This window comes from Homo sapiens, chromosome 1, assembly GCF_000001405.40.
Source record: "Homo sapiens chromosome 1, GRCh38.p14 Primary Assembly".
Taxonomy (NCBI): domain Eukaryota; kingdom Metazoa; phylum Chordata; class Mammalia; order Primates; family Hominidae; genus Homo; species Homo sapiens.
In genome coordinates, this window is record NC_000001.11 from 241,521,255 (window position 1) to 241,540,621 (window position 19,367).

Sequence of the window (19,367 nt, forward strand, 5' to 3'; positions counted from 1 at the left end):
TCATTTTATTTTATTTTTTGTTTCATTTTTGTTTCGAGCATGTCTCTTATTTCTACCATACAGTTTAACTTTTCAAAACCCAAATTAATAGCCTTTTTATAAATAGGTTATTTTAATCCCTTTTAAAAATTACCTATGACACATATTATGTTCTAGAATTTTTCAAAGCACTTTATATGTATTAATTCTTGGAACACTCAAAAACAACCCTATGAGATAGGTCCTATTATTATTCCTGTACATAGAAGAGAAAAATTGATGCCCAGGAACATCCACATATTTATTTGTGTGTTTTACTTCGATTTATTAGTGAAACTGATTTTCTATCTGCAGTAGTAATATGAAGTTCCATTTTTAATTATTCATTTTATTTGAAGTAAAATATTCAGTATAATATGAAGATGCTATATAAATGACTAAAATTTAGGAAATATTAACTTAGCTAATTTATTTTTATTAATTCGTAATAAAACGTACATAAAGCCTTTAATAAAGGCTAGATATCTTCATTTTAGAATGACTTATGTTATCTATTTGAAATAATGTTTTTACTTTGCTTAGAGTTTGGGTTTTTTTTTTTTAACTTTGGACTTGTCTGATAATAATATTGACCTGCTTTCTTCTTGTTGATGCTTGCCTGGTTTGTTCTTGTTTGTTTTACTTTGCTTTCTGTTTAAGGTAGGGGATGTGATTGGTGTCCTGCTGAGGGACAAGGGAAAAGTGCAATGGTTTTCTCTTGCCTGTGTTCTAAATCTCAACACCTGGCTGACAAAATTGATTGCGAGGTTCAAATTGTATCAATCAAAATGTTCTCCTTATTCAAACTAAAGACTTTTGCAAATTCTAATTTAGGATACCTCCCAGCCTGGGAGATTACCAGTGGGTTTCCTAGAGGAAGCTTAACAGAAAATTTGCAAGATACACCCATAAAAGTCTCCCAGAAAGTAGAGCAAATATTCAAAGAGAAGGAAAATAAAAGAAGTAAATAAAATTAGAGAAACAGTTCAGTATGTCCAACATGTGAATAATGTAGGGGAAACATTAGGAAAAAATGGAATAAACCTTAAAAAAATAAATTCAGAAAAATATATTGTAGAACTAGCAGATATGAACTAGCCAGAATGAGTTATGTCAACAAGAAATGTTAGAATACCAAGGGCAAAGAGAAGAGACTGGAATCTTTCAGAGAGAAAAATAAATAAGCAAAGGATTAGAAATCCTTAGACTTCACAACAACAATATCGGAAGCCAGACAGCAGTTGAATGATGTCTTCAAATTGTTAACGGAAAATTATTTCCAACTTTATATTCTATACCCAGAGAAATCAAGTGTGTGAAGAGAATTAAAATGTTTTCACATGATCAAGATGTCAAAAAATTTACTTCTTATCTACACTTTTCAAGAAAACGCCTCAAGTAAGTGCTCCACCGTAACTAGGAGTAAACAAAGGAAGAGGAAATTATGGACTTAGAAAATAGGGTCTTCGACACAAGAGACAGATGTGGCATATTGCCTGGAGGAGGCTATGACAGCTGTGCACTTACCTTAGAGAGCAACCATCTCAGATGGAAGCAGGTCACAGCCTCTGGAATAGATTTACTCAAAAAGATAAAATTGCTAATGCCTTGAATATACTGAGAAGGAATTTAGCTGATTGGGGGAGAGTTTGAGGGTTACATTTATAAGTCTTAGAAAAGTAACCAAAGGGAAAAAGCATGACAGTTATTAAACTGACAAATAAAGATAGTTGTATTTTGCAGAAAAGGGAAAATAATCATTATCAAATTTGAATGGCCATAGTTATAATAAATCAAACGTTGAATATTGATCTAACTGAAATGTTGATGTAACTATACTGAAAGGATGGGGAGATGGAAAGAATGTAGAAGTTTGGAGAGATTCAGACACGGTGAAAAAAAAAACATTAATCTTCGTCTTCAGTAGTGAGAAGTCATGATCTAATACCTAAAACCATAAACTGGACAGACAGAAATAAAAACCAAGAGGTAATCTTTAGAGATGTGGAAGTATATACCCAGGAACTGGAAGGGATGCCTCTGTGCAAGGATAAGTGGCGGAGAGGTAGCAAGGGTGATGACTGTTTAGGTTGGATGTCTTGCAGAACTTTTTTATTCCTAAGACTAAGTGCACGTACAGAAACTTTGCAAAACACTAAAATTACCAACTCAGAAAGTTAACCAACCTCTCTCTCCATTCTCCAGAAAAACTTCAATTCCTCAATGTGCTGGATTCCATTACCCCTCAGAGACACTACCCACTCTTTTTCTTACTTTGTCTGGTTATTTCTCTTAATTGACCCATAGAATAAGTTAATACTGTAACTTTGCTGTCTCAGCTCTCATGTTAAAAACAAACAAAAGCTGCTCTGACTTTGCATCCCACTTCAACTCCCTCCTCATTTCCAGGACATATTTGATCACCATCTTCACTTCACTTCTCATTCTTTCTTCATCCTATTACAATCTGCCTTCAGTACATGTCACTCCATTCATACTGCCCTTTCCAGGGTCACCAGTGACCTGCAAGGTGCAAATACAATGAACAATTAGTTTCCTATGTTTGCAGCAGCATTGACACAATTGACACCCCTTCTCCTTGGAAATACCTCTTTCTCGCTCTTTGAAATATCAAAGTCTCCGTATTTCCCTCTCCCAAACTTCCACTTTGTTTCACTACCTATTCCTTCACACTGTTCTTTGACAGATTTTCACTTATAAATAGGGAAGGGCCTCAGGGCTCACTCCTAAATAGTCTTTCCTCTTTAATTCATTTTTAAAAATATAGTGGGACCTCAGGTACAGAGTGTTGAGTAAATACACTGACCTTATGACATGTTATGGAGTATAAGATCCATTCTTATTTTATTTAAATATTTCATTTCTATTCCTATTTTCTATTCATATTTTTACTCTCTTTTTTGATTTCAATAGTTTTGGGGAAACAGGTGGCTTTTGACTACATGGATAAGTTTTTTAGTGGTGATTTCTGAGATTTTGTTGCACCCATCACCTAAGCAGTGTACACTGTACCCAATGTTTAAGTTTTTCATCCTTCACCCCCTCCCATCCTTCCCCCTGAGTCCCCAAAGTCCATTATATGGTTCTTATGACTTTGAGTCCTCATAGCTTAGCTTCACTTAGCTTCTTATTCTCCTATACCCTTTCTCCTTTCAAACCCCTAGAAAACTATTATAATGTGTTTATTTTGTATCCTTTTGTTTAGATGTATTCTTGTAAAATTTGTACAGTTGTTTTGTGCAGTTTAAATTTTTATGTAAATGTTATTGAATTATGCATGCTATTCCCTTTCTTAACTATCTTCTCAATCAGTTATCTTTCCATAGGTGAAATCTTCATTCCCATGATTTTCAGTACCATCTTTATGTTGATATACTGATGGTGCCAAACTTATTTTTCCAACCTAGGTTTCTCCAAGCTCCAGATTTACATTTCCAACTGTGTGCTTAGTATCTCTATCTAACTCAATACTCACATCTCAAACTTAATATACCTAAATGATAAATCTTAGTTGGCACCCCGCCCTAGTCTTTCATGCTCAGTAAACTACTACCAGTTAGTCAAGCTAGAAACCTGCAAGTCTTCCTTGATTCCTGAACTCTGCCTCCATTTCCCAAACATATGCGTACACTATGCCAAATTTACCAGCAGATCCTGGTCATTTAACACAAACTTATATCTTGAATCCATTCACTTTCCTCTCTTTTTACTTTCACCAATATATATTTGTTTAATAAAACAAGTAAACTAATAAGCCTGGTAGTTTCCTAGAATAGTGAACACAATAAAGGAAACAAGATGTTTAGAGAATGATTGAGAGGTTGCTTCTTTTAGATAAGGTGATCAAGCTAAGGATATTGTATCTGAGCTGAGAACTAAGCAATGAGAGCCAGCTATACAATGATAGAAGAGTATTCTAGGCAGACAGCTGCAAGTACAAAGGGCTTGGTTAAACGAATAAACAATTGTTGAGCAAGCTGATGTCGTCAAAGGGAGATAATTCTGTCAATTTCAACAGTCTGAGAATGATGAAAACATCGGAGTAAATATTGTTTTAATTAATCCTTTGCTAAATTTTAATTTCTTTTCATAAATGTTTATTATTTCCAATAATGCTGATTTGTTAAATATATAAATATGTGTAAAGTGGAAATATTCAGTGTCTGATGTAAGGTATTCTCCTCTTGGAGTCATTCTATTGTAAAAGTACCAGTTTTAGGGATTAACAAATAGCTGAATCCCAACAAGGATGAATTGCTTACTGCTATTGACACAAATTGCTCTATAAATCCCTACTTATCCTACAGTCTCAAGTTCTTCAGGCTCAGAGAATGGGGGAAGCTAGTCTATCAGTTCTTCTCTCCCTCAAGGACATCATCCAGAGAAAGGAGTGATTGTGATCTTGAACCTTCCTGAGGCTCCTCCAACACAATGCTTTCTACCTGACTTTTAGGAAGAACAGAGGGATAAGTAGCCATGGTCAAAATTGTAAGTTTATAATAGTTAAGCTTTTTTCAAGCTTTTGCTGCCCTTTCTCTTTCAGGCACTCTGGACTCTCATGTTATCCTACAATTTCTAAAAGTCATCAACTGGATCATTCTACTCAGATCTGTTTTCTCCTGCCTAATCTTATACAAAAGTTTATTACCTCTTCCTTCCTCTTCCAACTCAAAGATCATCAAATCCAAATTATTCAGATGTTATTATAAAATGTAGCTATCCAGAGACATGGAATCAACCCATCAGTGGCAGATTGGATAAAGAAAATATGGTGCATGTACACCATGGAATACGGTGCATCCATAAAAAAGCATGAGCTCATGTCCTTTGCAGGAACATGGATAGAGCTGGAGGCCATTATCCTTAGCAAACTAACGTAGGAACAGAAAATCAAATACTGCATGTTCTCACTTATAAGTGGGACCTAAATTATGAGAACACACGGATACAAAGAAGGGGACAACAGACACTGAGGCCTACTTGAACGTGGAGGATGGGAGGAGGGAGAGGTTCAGAAAAAATAGCTATTGGGTACTAGGTTTAGTACCTGAGTGATGAAATAATCTGTACAACAAACCCCTGTGACACAAGTTTACCCAAATAGCAAACCTGCAGATGTATCCTTGAACCTAAAAGTTAAATTAAGATAAAATAAAGTTAAAAAATAAAATATATCTATCAATTTAAGTTTCATTTAGTTTGGATTGTCAAAAAAAATAAAAGCAACATGAGATATGAAAATTGTCACTTTTTTGGAGAAACAGTCATTTATTACTGACTCTCCCTATAACAGAAATTGAGGACATTTCTGAGAGGTAATAACAAAATTATCTATTCTAAGAATGAACTGAGAAAACTGGGACTTACTATAAAAGTAATAATAATCATTACTTATCAGTCTATTAGCATGTTGTTTACATGCTGCACAGACTTCATGATTAATAATTAATTTCTTTTATCTCAACTATTGACTTGACATAATTTTTTGGCCCATAAGTGGAGAGTTATTTGACCCGCCTAATAAGAGATGTAGAAACATCATAGAACAATAGTTATCAGCATCTTTATAGTCAGTTTTAATGTCATAAAACACTGTTTTAGCCAGATTATTTGTGAGGTGGGTCACAATTTGTTATACATAGGAGTTAAAGTATCAAAATTTGAAAATTATTTTAAAAATAAGTAAAGCAGGTGCAATACGTTTTTACTCAGATAATATAGTATTAATATGTGTGCTTCTTTGAGTCAAAGAAAAAGGGTAAGTTTCTAGCTATTAAGCAGAGAATTGTATGTAAACTTCAGGCTATCTTATCTGTGCCCAAACTGCTAATATTAGTACTTCCATGAGAGTTCATCTTTTAGATGAATAACATTGAAAATGAAATGTGTCATGTGTTGTGGAAAAGGGTTTTGAACTTCTAGGCTTAAAGAGAGCAAGTAGCACAACGATCTCTAGTTTTATCCCATATGGGCTATGTAGATACCAAAGGAACAGCTATTCCTAAGACAGACCTCACTGATATTGCATACGGAGTGAGTGCTGAATCACCCATAAGCACAAGGCAGAAGCAAAATTAATCTTCTCTAAAGCAATACACTGATGCCTGAAGCCTCAAACTACTTACAAGTAGGTTTTTTTTTTTTTTCAACTACCATTTTGAGCACTCAAAGCTTAAAATGCTCACAGGGAAATTAGATAACATAAGTGTCTACAAACGATAAATAACCATCAAAACAAAGCCACAGTAGAAATTATCAGACACAGACCGTAAGACATTCATGTTTATTATGTTAAGTAATAAACATAAACTTGAGGATTTTGGCAAGGGTGCTGGAAACTAAAAATATTGTGGTACATATGAAAAATAAAATAAAAATTCCAGAACTAAAAAATTGCAATAATCAAAGTTAAGAGCATAATGGATGAGTTTATCAGCTGACTAGACAGTAGAAAAAAGAATTGGGAAATTCAATAATACATTAAAATACATAATGCATTAACATAACTATCCATAGCGAAGCACAAAAGGACAAGCAATGAAAATACAGATTAAAGGATAAGAGACAAGGGAAGAAACCAATCTCTATTAAGCAACCCAATGATTTCCTGCTAGGATCTATAAAAATAAATTTTTATGTAGATACATCTTAGTGAAACGACAGAAAGCCGAAGACTCAAGTTAAAAGATAAAGATTAAAGACTAGACTGGATTTTAAAACGTTCAACAGAATGCTGTTTACAAAGGCCACATAAGAATAAAAGAAAGTTGAAACCAAAAGGTTGGAAATGATATAATATGTAAATGCTAACCTAAATATAAAAGCTAATAGTACTATCAAATAAAGTTTAAGGCAAAAATAATTATTTGCTTCATAATAATAAAAGCTTTAGTTTACCAGTAATGGATAGCAGCTTTAAATGTGGATTGTTCCATATAGATAGAAATGCTGAAGAAACAGACAAATACCAATCACAGCGTGAGATTATTTAACATAACCTTTTTCAGTAATTGACAAAACAAGCATACCAAAAGTTAGCGAGAATACAAAAGTTTTGAACACATGATTAATAAACTTGACCTAATGGATATGTATAGGAAAATATATACATTAATTTCAGAATATATATATATATAATATATATATATTCTGAAATACTTGAATATATATATATTTCAAGTACACACAAAGCATTTACACAAATTTACCACTTTATGGCCATACAATGAGTCTTAACCCGTTTCACATGTTTGAAAATCTATAGCACATATTAGCTGGCCTCACTGGAATTTTGCTAAAAACCAATAACAATAAGAAAACTAGGATGTGCCATGCATTTGGAACTTAAGAAATAAACCTGTATTCCACCCTGTACTGGAGGTACTAGCCAGCATGGAAAGAATCATTCAATCAGTCAGTAGCAGGGGGAGAGAGAGAGAGAGAGAGAGAGAGAGAGAGAGAGAGAGAGAGAGAGAGAGAGAGAGAAACTACCATGATTGTGGTGAAGAGAAAAATCCACCATTCAGTCAACAGGAAAGAAAGACAAAAAGGAATGAAGGAAGGAAGGAAAGAAGGAAGGAAGGGACTGTCATTGCGATTGGGTGAAAAGAAAAATCAAAAAATCTACAGACAAAATCAATAGAATTAATAACTTTTGCAATGCTGCTGCATACAAGCTCACAAAATGGAAAATAATGTGTTTCTAAATACTATTAATAGTAGAAAATGAAATGAAAGATATTATTTACAATAAAATTTAAAAAATCAATTACCTAAACATAATAATAGGGGATCAAACCTCTACAGGGAAAGAATATAACTTTGTAAGCCTTGGAGATGACAAACAGATGGTGGGGAGGGGCATATCATATTCTGAATGGAAAGACGCAGTAGTCAAAATAGTTATTCTTTCCAGATAGATGTATAACTTCGAAGCAATCCCAGTCAAAAATCCCAACCATATTTTTATTTTAGGGATTTTTAAAATGGAATTAACAGGCTGATTCTAAAACAGATGGAAATACAAAGCACCAAGAATAGTCAATACATTATTAATGAAGGACAAGGTGGGTGAATTGATGAAGATATTAAGGATTGTATTAAAGCTATTGTAATTTGGCTTTGGAACTGGCATTAGTAGGTATAGTATGGGCAGTATAGACTATATGGAATGAAATAGAATAGAAACCTGGAACGAGACCCACACATATATGAACACTGGACCTACACCAAAGGCAATGCGGGAAAAGGAAAGTCTTTTCATTTATTGGTACAGGGAATATTGGGTATTCATTTGGAAAACAAATAAAATTTTGACATCTATATCACAGCATTCCAAAAACAAAAAAACTAACTCCATGTTGATCATAGACCTAAAAATGAAAGGTAAATTATAACTATTTTAGAAGTCAACATGGAAGAATATCCTCATGACCTCAAGATTATACAAAAAAAGTGATAAAACATGACATGAAAAACTCTAACCACAAGGGAAAAGAATGTATTAAATGAAGAATATTCTTTCATCAAAAGACACCACTAGGAAAGCAAAAAGGCAAGCCACAGAGTGAATGAAATGTTATTTGTGACATATCTAAGTACTAAAGTTCATATGCAATGGGACTCAAAAAAGGAAAAAAAAATTCCCACCCTCCCCCCCCAAAAATTAACACTACCTATACAGAAGAAGAAAAAGAAGTTGTGAATGAACAGGTAAAAATGTGCTCAACTTCACTGATAATCAAAGGACTGCAAATTAAAAGAACACTGAAATATAAAGCACATCTACCAGACTGGCAAAAATTAAAAATTCTTGGCAATACATACATTGGTGAGGATACAGCAGAAGACAAATTTTACACATTGTGTTAAGTAAAAGCTAATGCACTACTTTGGAATGTAACTTTCGTTTATTCAGAAAGGTTAAAAATATGCATAAACATGGCTGGGCGCAGTCACTCACATCTGTAATTCCAGCACTTTGGGAGGCTGAGGCGGGTGGACCACTTGAGGCCGAGTTCAAGACCAGCCTAGTCAACATGGTGAAACCCCATCTCTACTGAAAAAATACAAAAATTAGCTAGGCGTGGTAGCAGGCACCTGTAATCCCAGCTACTCGGGAGGCTGAGGCAGGAGAATCAGTTGAACCTGGGAGGCAGAGGTTGCAGTGAGCCGAGATTGCACCATTGCACTCCAGCCTGGGTGACAGAGTGAGACTCCATCTCAAAAAAACCCAAAAAACAAAAAACAAACAAAAAAGCATAAACAGCATATGAAACCTAGAGATACTCATACATATGTACATGACATTGTATACACAAGAGTGTTTATGGCAACACCATTATTCATGATATTAAAAATTTGGAAACACCCCAAATGTCCATCAACAGCACAATGGACAAATAATAAATGACGATAAAAATGAATGAACTGGAAAAACATGCAACAACACAAATGGATCTTAAGAGATATAATATTGAGAAAAAGAAGCAAGTTGTAAAAAAATAAACAGTATAAGTTCATTTATAGGAAAGTTCAAAAAAGTCAACACTAAACTATTTTAGGGATGCATCTATCATGGTACAATTATACATAAAAGCAAAGAAAGTTGGTATGGCAGTTACCTCTACGAAGGAGGGGTGATTAACAGGGGGCACGTTAGACTTCTGGGATTCTGGCAATATTCTCTCTCTGCACCTAAATGGTAGTTACATGGATACTTGCTTTACAGTAACTTATTATACTGTTCATTTGTGTTATAGTTCATAATTTTTAAAAGATTTTTTAACAATGATACATATTGATACTGAGGAATTGATACATATTCTCTACATATTGATATTGAAGAATTCTCAAGCTATATGTTGTAAAGTGAGAAATATGATGTGGAAAAAGTTTTTAAATGTATGTTTAAAAAGAAAGGAAGGAAGGGAATGAGAGAGTGAGAGAAAGAGAGAGAGAAAAGGAGAGAGAGGAAGAACAAGAAAGACATAATCAACGTGTAGAAGAATACGGTAACCCACACACCAAAACAGTTGTTGTCTTTGGGCAGGAGGAATAGGTGGCCAAGGGTCAAGGTTAGCAGGATTACTATTCACCGTGTACTCTTTTGTGTCTTTAATTTCATGCCATGTTAATGTATTACCTATTCAAAATAAATAAAATACCTAATCATGCTTATCCACAAGGGGTCACTATTGAATGCCATTTAACTCTAGTTCCTAACCAGGGAAAAAAACGTTCTGAATTCTTTATGTGCTTAACAGGAAGTGAAGAAACAACTTCATTTATGTTCTTATTTTACATTACACCACATCATGTTCCAGAAAACAATTGCCATTCGCAAATCATGCACAAAAGTATAACATTTAAAACGGAGTGAAAAAGACAAAAAAGTGAATAGATAATATGAAGTCGGGAATGAGTTTACAGAAGCGTTGTGTCAGTCATCTCCCCTAGTGGTAATTAGACTCTAAATTTTCGATTCTAAAATTAGATTCTAAATTTTCTAGCATCTGGGCTGAAAAAAAAAAGGGGAAGTATGGTCAGTTACACAATTCAAAATGTTGATCGGGAGAATATTAAGACCTTGCAGAGAATTTTCCCTGGTAGAGCCTGTTAAAAACAATCCATGAGGACCCTTTAGATGAAATTTTTGATTGGTCTTAACCACAAAAATGATCCACAGATGAATTATGAAACCATGTCATCTTACTCTCTAAGGGAGGTATAAGATGTTTTTGGACTTCAGATGAGAAGGGCTCCATTCATGGTTAATCATGAATGAAAACGAAACTAAGAATATATGCTGTAGAAAAAGAAGAAGAAAAGCCACAAGACTGCTTAAAAATTTCTGTGTCTTACACAGAAGATAGAAAAAATAGAGTGTCTCCAATTGGATGGATTTTTTAAAAAATTTGGTTATTGTAATGGATTTATTTTTTCTTAGAGCTGAGCTGATTGTACTTTGGCCAACTAATGGGTTAATACTGTCAAGGGAAATTAGCCCTGACTAAACATTGCCGCTGGCTCATGAATGCACTAGGCTTGGGGCAGTATAAAAACTCAGAGAAATCAGTGTGTAGGAGACACAGAAATCAGTGTCACTCAGTGACAGAAGCAACAATAATTGTGAAAAATACTTCAGCAGTTATGGACTCATCTGTCATTCAAAGGAAAAAAGTAGCTGTCATTGGTGGTGGCTTGGTAAGAATTTTCAGATGGATTACTATTGTTGGTGGTATTATATTAACTATTATTACTCGTAATGATTATTATTCGTCACTTCTGCAAATTGTTAATTTTCTTGTGAAAACTCTGATATTTAAATACAGCTATTTTGTTTATTTTTTTAATATTTTTATTTTCATAGATTTAATATAGTATGAGTTTTAATCTGTTCTTTTTCAGGAAAGGTATTTTATAGCCATTAAATACAAAGGTTTCTGTTTTCCCTCATCATTTTGGTTTAGGATTTGTTAAAAAGCAAAAATAATGCAAATTGAATTTGATTTTATCCCCAAATTGGCTATGTTTTTAGGAACAGGAATTAGTCTCAATATTCATTTTAATAAAAACATTTGTTCCGCTTTGTTTAATAACTCAGTTAATGCTGTCTAATGAGAATAAAAGGGTCAAGAAACATGAAGCTAACGTCAAAGTATCATGTTGAATGTTCACTAGTTATATGAGTAATTGGGAATAAGATTTATGTGGTCGCCTGACTTACTTGACTCTTCCAGTGGAGCACCTAAGACAGTGGAGTGAGGTGTTCACCTCTCACTGAGCACGTGACGTAAAGGTGCTGGGGCTTCCCCCATACCTAACAAGACGGAAGGAGAGGTCACTCTCTGCTTTCATAGTTATGGTGCCAAAGGTAGTTCTGTTTAACATGGGTCTGCTCCGATTCAACTTTGCTTTTTCCCATCTCAGCAGAATTTCTGTTTCAGAATACAAACATCCCAGTTAGTCAAGGTTAAATCATTTCCCTATCACCTTTGGTCAAATCATTTGGAGACTTTTCATTAATTATTCATATATCCACTCAACAAAAAATTTATTGAGGGCGTAACACTGTTCTAGGCTGAATATAGATGGTATATTTTATGCCACACATGTATTTATACAGTATATGCTGTCTTTTGTTCTGCCTTCCTTAGTGTCTTTTCCCCAAAGTGCTAGAACAGTTCTTTTAATATTTCTGATTCTAAATTTTCATTTAGAAATGCTATCACATGATGTGTTGGTCACTGGTTGGGACATGTGTCGTCACTGCTTCATACTAGGCTTGTGTCCAATCTGTCCTATCAAAATGTTGCACAAAATGAGAATTCATGTGTTCAACAAAATCTGATTACTATGTACCAATATTGTTTTAGGTAGTAGGGATGCGAGGGTGAGAATTCCAGAGAAGAAAAAGACAAGGAAGAAGAAAACAAATAAGACAATTTCAGTTAAAGAGAAGCACTATGAAAGAAACGAAAACAGGGTAGTGCTGTAGAGAGTATCTTTGGGAGTACCTGTTTAGAATGTGGTCAGGGACAGCTGCTCTGCTGAAGGGACATGTGACCAGAGACCTGAATGATCAGATAGAACTAACTACGTGAAGATCTTGAGAAAGAGCATTTCAGGCAGAGGGAACAGCAGGAAGAGAAACCCTCAGGCAATAATGAGCTGCCCAAGTTCAAGGAGCAGAAAGAAAGGCAGGAACTGCCTGAGGCCAGAGAAGAGTAGCTGATGAGGCCAGAAAAGCTGACAGACCAGATCTTGTAGGATCTTAGAGGTCCAGGCAAGAAGATCAGATTTTGTTCAAATTACAATGGGAAACTATTGGAGGATTTTAGGCAGGAAATTAAGTTGTGATTTTAAAAGGTCCCTTGGACCATTATGTGGAGAATGACTAGGAACATTTTAAGATGACAAGATAGACCAGTTAGGAGGCTGTTACGTTAGCTCAAGACTTGGACTAAGGTGGCAGCAGTGATGTCTCATTTTAAAAATTGTCTCTTAGAAATCCAAGGGAGAGATAACAAATATGTGATTGTATATATGGTTTTGGGGGGCATAAAAATGTGGGTGTCATCCATGGATTTCTCCCTGAATAACATGAGATTGTCATCATGTAACCACGTCATACATATGCTGGAAAATAGGAGACAAAAATTACTACTTGCGTATTAGGGAGCAACTAAAATTCCTCTGCAAAAGAATTCTATCCATCCTATTGTTCAAGTCCATGCTTACGCATCATGTTTGATTCCTATTGTCATTTTGTGCAAACGCTTATTCTTCTTTCACTCCATCAGTAAGCCTTGAGGCTCTATATCCAAAATACATTTAAATTCTAGCCATTACAACCATCCTGGCCCAAGCCATTATCATCCGCCATCCTTATTCCTGCAACAAGCTCCAAATTAGTCTCCCAGCTTTAACTCCTTTTCCCTTATAGTCCATACTACACACCACAGCCAGAAACACCCTTCTAAAACATGAGTCTGATCATTATCATCCCCTGCTTAAAATCTTCCAATGATCTCCCATTACAAATAAAATAAAACCCAAACTCTTTACCAAAGGTCTTGTCTGAACTAAGCCTATCTGCCTTTCTGGCTTCACCCCTTTCCCTTTTTATTTGTTAATCTTATCTACCAGTATCGGAAATTACACACTTTGGGTTTTTTTTTTTAACCTGTTTCTTAGATATCTACTCCAACTAGGATATAAACTCTTATTAACCAATGTATTCCAGAGGCTGTAATTATGCCTAACATTATGTATTGGGTGGATGAATAAATGAGAGGAATGAGAAAACTTAATGATATAAAGGTGAAAAAATAATAACAGATGCATGTTTGAATATTGAGAAAATTATTTTTAAAAGTATTGACTAAATAGAGCAATTCAAGAAGGTTAATGTCTTTACATAGAGGACAAGATTACATTTTTGCCCATCTTCTTCTGTTTTTTTTTCCACCCTCCCTTCCTACCTCCTCCTTTCCATAAACCATATCCCAGTACCTTATACTGTCTAACACATTAAAGGCTCTCCCCTGGCCCCTAGAAAAAAAAATGAGAGTTGAGAACCTTTACTTAGACATCCAAAAAATATAGTGAACTTCCCTCAATTCTTATCAGTGGTAGCTTACCATGTCTAGTAAACTTGCCTAATGAAAAGTCACCCTGAGAAGTTATTCTTGCTCTGATGTAGTGATCATCTGATATTGGGTTAAACCAGTTGATTTCCTTTCTTTGAAGACATGTTCAGTCAAAGAGATCAACAAACCAGTAAAAAAACTCCTAATGAGAAACAAAAGGTAAAAGAAACTAAACCATAATCATAAACCAGGTAAAGTTTAAATATTGAAAAACAAGTGGGAAAAGATGTTAAAATAGCATTTCAAGAACATTGACCTAAATATTTAGAAAGACCCCTGTATTGACTGATATTTTCCTCCTTGTGTGAATTACAACTCCCCCATCCCTTCTCCAGCCAATGGGATTACCTCCTGCTAGTTCCAGAAGGTAACTGCAGGACAATCAACCTGTGAAGGCTTCTCCTCTCTTTAAATGCCCACAGGGCTTTGTTTGTCATTATCAAATGCTGCCTTCTATTAAAATTTTGTTATGCATAGTTTATTCCCCATAGAAGCTTTTTACTTCGTAGATCTAAAGATTATTTTATCTTTGGCTCCTGCTACCTTTATAAAGGTTTCCCAGTGCCTTATAATGTGAGCCACACTAAAATATTTTCTGTGCATGAGTTTGATTTCAGAACAAAGTGGAGAATCACTCCTTTAGAAGTTATGGGAAATTTTTAAAGAGTTTTTTTTTTAACACAATTATGTCATGAGGAATGTAGTCCTTTCAATGAGTAACTTAAAAAAGGATTTGGAAAATAATCTCAATTTTGCATGCTGGAAGGAGTTCTACAGTGTAGCTTTTCAATTCTAGCACATCATTTCAAAAAAAACCTGCATTACAAAAAAACTGCCATACAAACTGCCTTACTTCATGTTAGAGTGATATGTTTTCTTTTCTTTATGAAGTGAGAGAGAAGTAGACAAGCCAGAGAAGTAAACAAAGGCCATCTAAGCTAAACAAGTGTCCTTAATCCACATCTGAATTCAGTCCTTAAGACTCAGAAAATACTGCTTTTGATAACTGTTTTCAGTGTTTACAGGTATGACGAAAGTGATCAGAGCAAAAAGGCACCATTTCAGTGACAGCTAAAGCTACTCAAGACACCATTTTTTGACTGAAGCCAAGAGCCTTGGTAAGAGGGCTATTAAGCATTCCAGTCTCAGCTGACTCCTGCTGTTGCAATGTATGTCCACTATTCTAGCATGTATTTTGGAGATGTATTTTAGGATATCATTCAAATATTTCTTCTGTTCCTTTCTGCAAAAAAGAAACCCCACTGTAGAGAGCTTTGTGATCTACTCTCCCTATGTTTGACCCAGGAAAGTTCTCCATTTAGTAGTATTTAGAGGGTGAGGAGATTTGTACGTATTTTGACTTATTGTTGATAATTGTGCCCTGCCCCCTGGAATTCAAGTCAAGTCAGTGGCCTCTGCTGATGAAATTGCTTTTGAGGCAACTTGACCTTGACTCTATGAGAGTTTATGTCTCACAGCTATAGATGTTAAATCCTGTCATGGATTTATAGGCTCAAAATGGTCTTGATGCCAAACTGTCCCCAAATGGTGTTTCTGTTCTGTTCTTCTTAGGATTTTTCCACCTCACCACTTACTCTTCACTCAGCTTCATGGGATGGAAAAAACATTATTCATTGAGGGGACTGGGAATAGCAGAGTTTGCAACCAGCTGGACACTCAGGAAATCTTACCCTATGGGTCTCAGTTTCTTCCTCTTGGACTAAAACTAGATTGCTAGTCTTTTAACACTAAAATTCTACTGCTTCTTTTTCACACTTTCTCGCTCACAGATCTCTAGCTTTGTTCTCAACCTACTCCTTTCTAAAAAAAGAAATCAAATGTCACCCAGAATTTTCACTTTCCCTGAAGTAAACGTCCTCAGTGCATATGAACCATCAAATGGCTTATAATCCTGGGTTGAGGTCTACACAGAATTTGATTCAAGTGCATACTTTATATTTTTTGCAAATATTAATGAGCTATACCATGAAAAAGACATAATTACTGTTAACCTTTATTGTTATTATTTTATCAATGTGAAAATAAACTAAGCTCTATTTGCTCTACTCTTGTTTTGATACCAAACTAGGCTTGTTCTGCCCAGCATGCAGTAAGTCAGTTACTGAGATAACAAGTGTATTAATCCGTTTTCATGTTGCTGATAAAGACCTACCTGAGACTGGGCAATTTATAAAGAAAAAGAGGTTTAATGGACTCAGTTCCACGTGACTGGGGAGGTCTCATGATGATGGTGAAAGGCAAAAGGCATGTCTTACATGGTGGCAGGCAAGAGACGGCATGCAGGGGAACTCTCCTTTATAAAATCATCAGATTTCATGAGACTCATTCACTATCACGAGAACAGCATGGGAAAGACCCAATCCCATGATTCAATTACCTACCGCTGGGTCCCTCCCACAACACATGAGGATTATGGAAGCTACAATTCAAGATGAGATTTGGGTGGGGACACAACCAAACCATATCAACAAGTTTTGCAGTAAAGAGAAGATTTTATTCACAGGACAGCCCAGCAAGGAGATGGAAGAACAGCTTTCAAATCCACCTCTCCAAAGATAGGGCTTAGAGATATTTATGGGGTAAAGAAGCAGGGTGGTCTAAGGTGTGGGGAAGGTGATTAGCAGTGGGGAAAAATGAATAGGTGGTCTGAGCATGCATAATCAAGGTTCATGACTCTTCATAGGACACATGTTCAGAAAATGGTGGCATTAGCATGCTGTGAAGGTGAGGTTTTTGGCCTTCTGGTATCAGAAAGTCACTTCTTGGGCATTTGTGCAGGCCCAGTTGAAGGGCCTGCAACTCTCTTCTTTCCTTCTTCTATCTGCTTTCTCATTCTCCTATTATCCTTACTCCATAGTAATAAGGCCCAGGAGTCAATGGGCAAGGTAGAAAGAGGGTTGGTGGTCTCTTTCAAGTAGTTTAACTTGGGTAAGAACACCTAGTTCCTGAAAACAAAAACAAAAACAAAAACTTTAAGCAACTATTACCATAGTGACATACATGCCAGAGACGTTGTCTATAAGGAAGCTAGTGACAGATTAGATGTATATTGTTTGGCTACATGACTTTTAGCTATATGGGCTTTGAGATCAACTAGAAGTAAGCAATAAAAAGCAAGCAAGGCAGGCTGTTTGGTGGGCCTCACCATGTTAGACCTGGGTTTCAGTTTTCTATTTCATAGGCTCTGAGCCTTCTTAAATATGAAAAACTCTCATTAGTGGCCCATATCTAGCACCTTCTAAAAACAGAGGTGGAATGGATTTCTTTGTGGCTGTGCCTCATAAATCCCACTCTCACCTCAGGGAATTCATCCCTCAGAGATTCCTTCATTTGCTATCTGGTGGGAAGTATCTGGAATGGAACCAACAACTTTAGACAGCTCCAGACTTTGTTAAGTGCCTACAAAGAGTGTGTCTTTCATTCCTTCTCATTTGGCGCATCCTCCTCCCAAATACTCTCAGATTATTTCCCTTCTGTCCATATTCACTCATGCATTCGTCTAGTCCTCTATCTGTCTACTCAAAGAAAAAGAGCACCCTCATACACTGTTGATGGTAATCTAAGCCGGTATTTTTTTCCTGGAAAACAACTTGAAAATATACACATCTGTAGTCTTAAAAATAGTGGGGATTTGGCTGGGCACGGTGGCTCAGGCCTGTAATCCTAGCACTTTGGGAGTCCGAGGTGGGTGGATTGCCTGAGCTCAAGAGTTCGAGACCAGTCTGGGTAACACAGTGAAACCCCATCTCTACTGAAACACAAAAAAATTAGCCAGGCATGGCAGTGTGTGCCTGTAGTCCCAGTTATTCGGGAGGCTGAGGCAGGAGAATTGCTTGAACCTGGGAGGCAAAGGTTTCAGTGAGCTGAGATCGTGCCACTGCATTCCAGTCTGGGCAACGGAGTGAGACTCCGTCTCAAAAAAATTCCAGAAAGCAGCAATAGCTACTTCACCCTTGAAGTTGGCCTAAGCATGGCATTGCATTCAGAGTAACAACTGTCCTTCAGCCAATGAGAAATTAAAAGCAAATAGAATCTAATGTAGGCTCTCAAAAACATCAAATCTGGAGTGTATTCAAAACTCCCAACAAAACCTTCTGAAATGATATTGCCCCAGTCAATCTGAATCTCTTTCGTGTGCTTTGCAGTTATTCCAAAAGCAAGACAAAGGAAGATTGAGCAGGCTCCTCTTACGCTCTAGACCATCAATATTCTCTCCGCAGCTCACTTCAGACTCTCTTCTTTCCCTCTTTGTTTTCTCATTCCCCTGTTATCCTTACTCCATTCCCCCACTAGTAATAAGGCCCAGGAGCCAACGGGGCAGGTAGAAGGAGGGTGTGGAGCTCGGAATTGGCCAGTGTTTCAATCCCTTTTATTCAAAATTGCCCTTTGGTGGGCCATTTCATTAGTGAGATTTTATCAAAAGAAACGTGTATGCGTCATACAATTGTCTATAATGCTAAAGAATTAAAATAACTTGAATATCCAAATATAAGCACACTGCCTACAATCAAATGTAATGCAAGTATTAAATGCTTTTACTTCAGACATCTTTTGACGTGGAAATGTATTTAGAGTACACTTTTCATTTTTTGAAAGAAATTATGAAAGAAAATATACAACCTGTTACCATTTTGAAAAGAAATATCATGTATTTTATATACATAGAAAATGTTAATATTGGTTGCCATTGGTGGTAAAATTGTGAGGAATTATTTTTTTCTTCACATTTACCTGTATTTTCTAATTCATTAGAATTTGTGGTTTATATCAGAGATAAAAAGACAAAATACAAGCCATGCAAATATTATTCCTCTCTGGGAATTTACTGCCTGGTGGAAGTCAGACAAGACTATAAATAAATAATTCAATGTACTTGAGACATTAAAACACATCTATATACATATATATATATAATTACAGAAGAAAAGGCAAACAAGTCTTTTGGAGGAGTAGAGGTATCAGGAAAAACTACACTGAGGATATGAGTCTTAAAGGAAAGGTAGGCATTTTCCAAAAACTGAATATAAGGCAGGGAAGGATAGTATTCAAAGGCATGGAAGAATAAAAGTGCATGGCATATTCAGAAAACATATAGTAAATTTAGTATGCCTATTACAGATGGTGCAAGAGAATAGTGCATGAGATAGTGCATGA

At 35.7% G+C, this 19,367-nt stretch overlaps 1 protein-coding gene across 2 annotated transcripts in view, besides 1 other annotated feature; it reads left to right on the forward strand.

The window, feature by feature from the left end:
* Positions 10,707-10,856: an enhancer, noted in NCBI's record as "active region_2828". NCBI's record gives its function as "activates an Ori minimal core promoter by ATAC-STARR-seq in GM12878 lymphoblastoid cells {active_cell/tissue: GM12878}" and the evidence as "EXISTENCE:reporter gene assay evidence [ECO:0000049][PMID:35858748]".
* The window catches only part of KMO (kynurenine 3-monooxygenase), a 63,265-nt gene continuing 55,021 nt past the window's right edge, over positions 11,124-19,367 (forward strand). For both annotated transcript variants that reach the window (NM_003679.5, NM_001410944.1), the window contains exon 1: positions 11,124-11,244. In NM_003679.5, coding sequence (NP_003670.2) covers positions 11,191-11,244 — 54 coding nt within the window. In that variant the 5' untranslated portion in view covers positions 11,124-11,190. The remainder of the gene's footprint in view (positions 11,245-19,367) is intronic.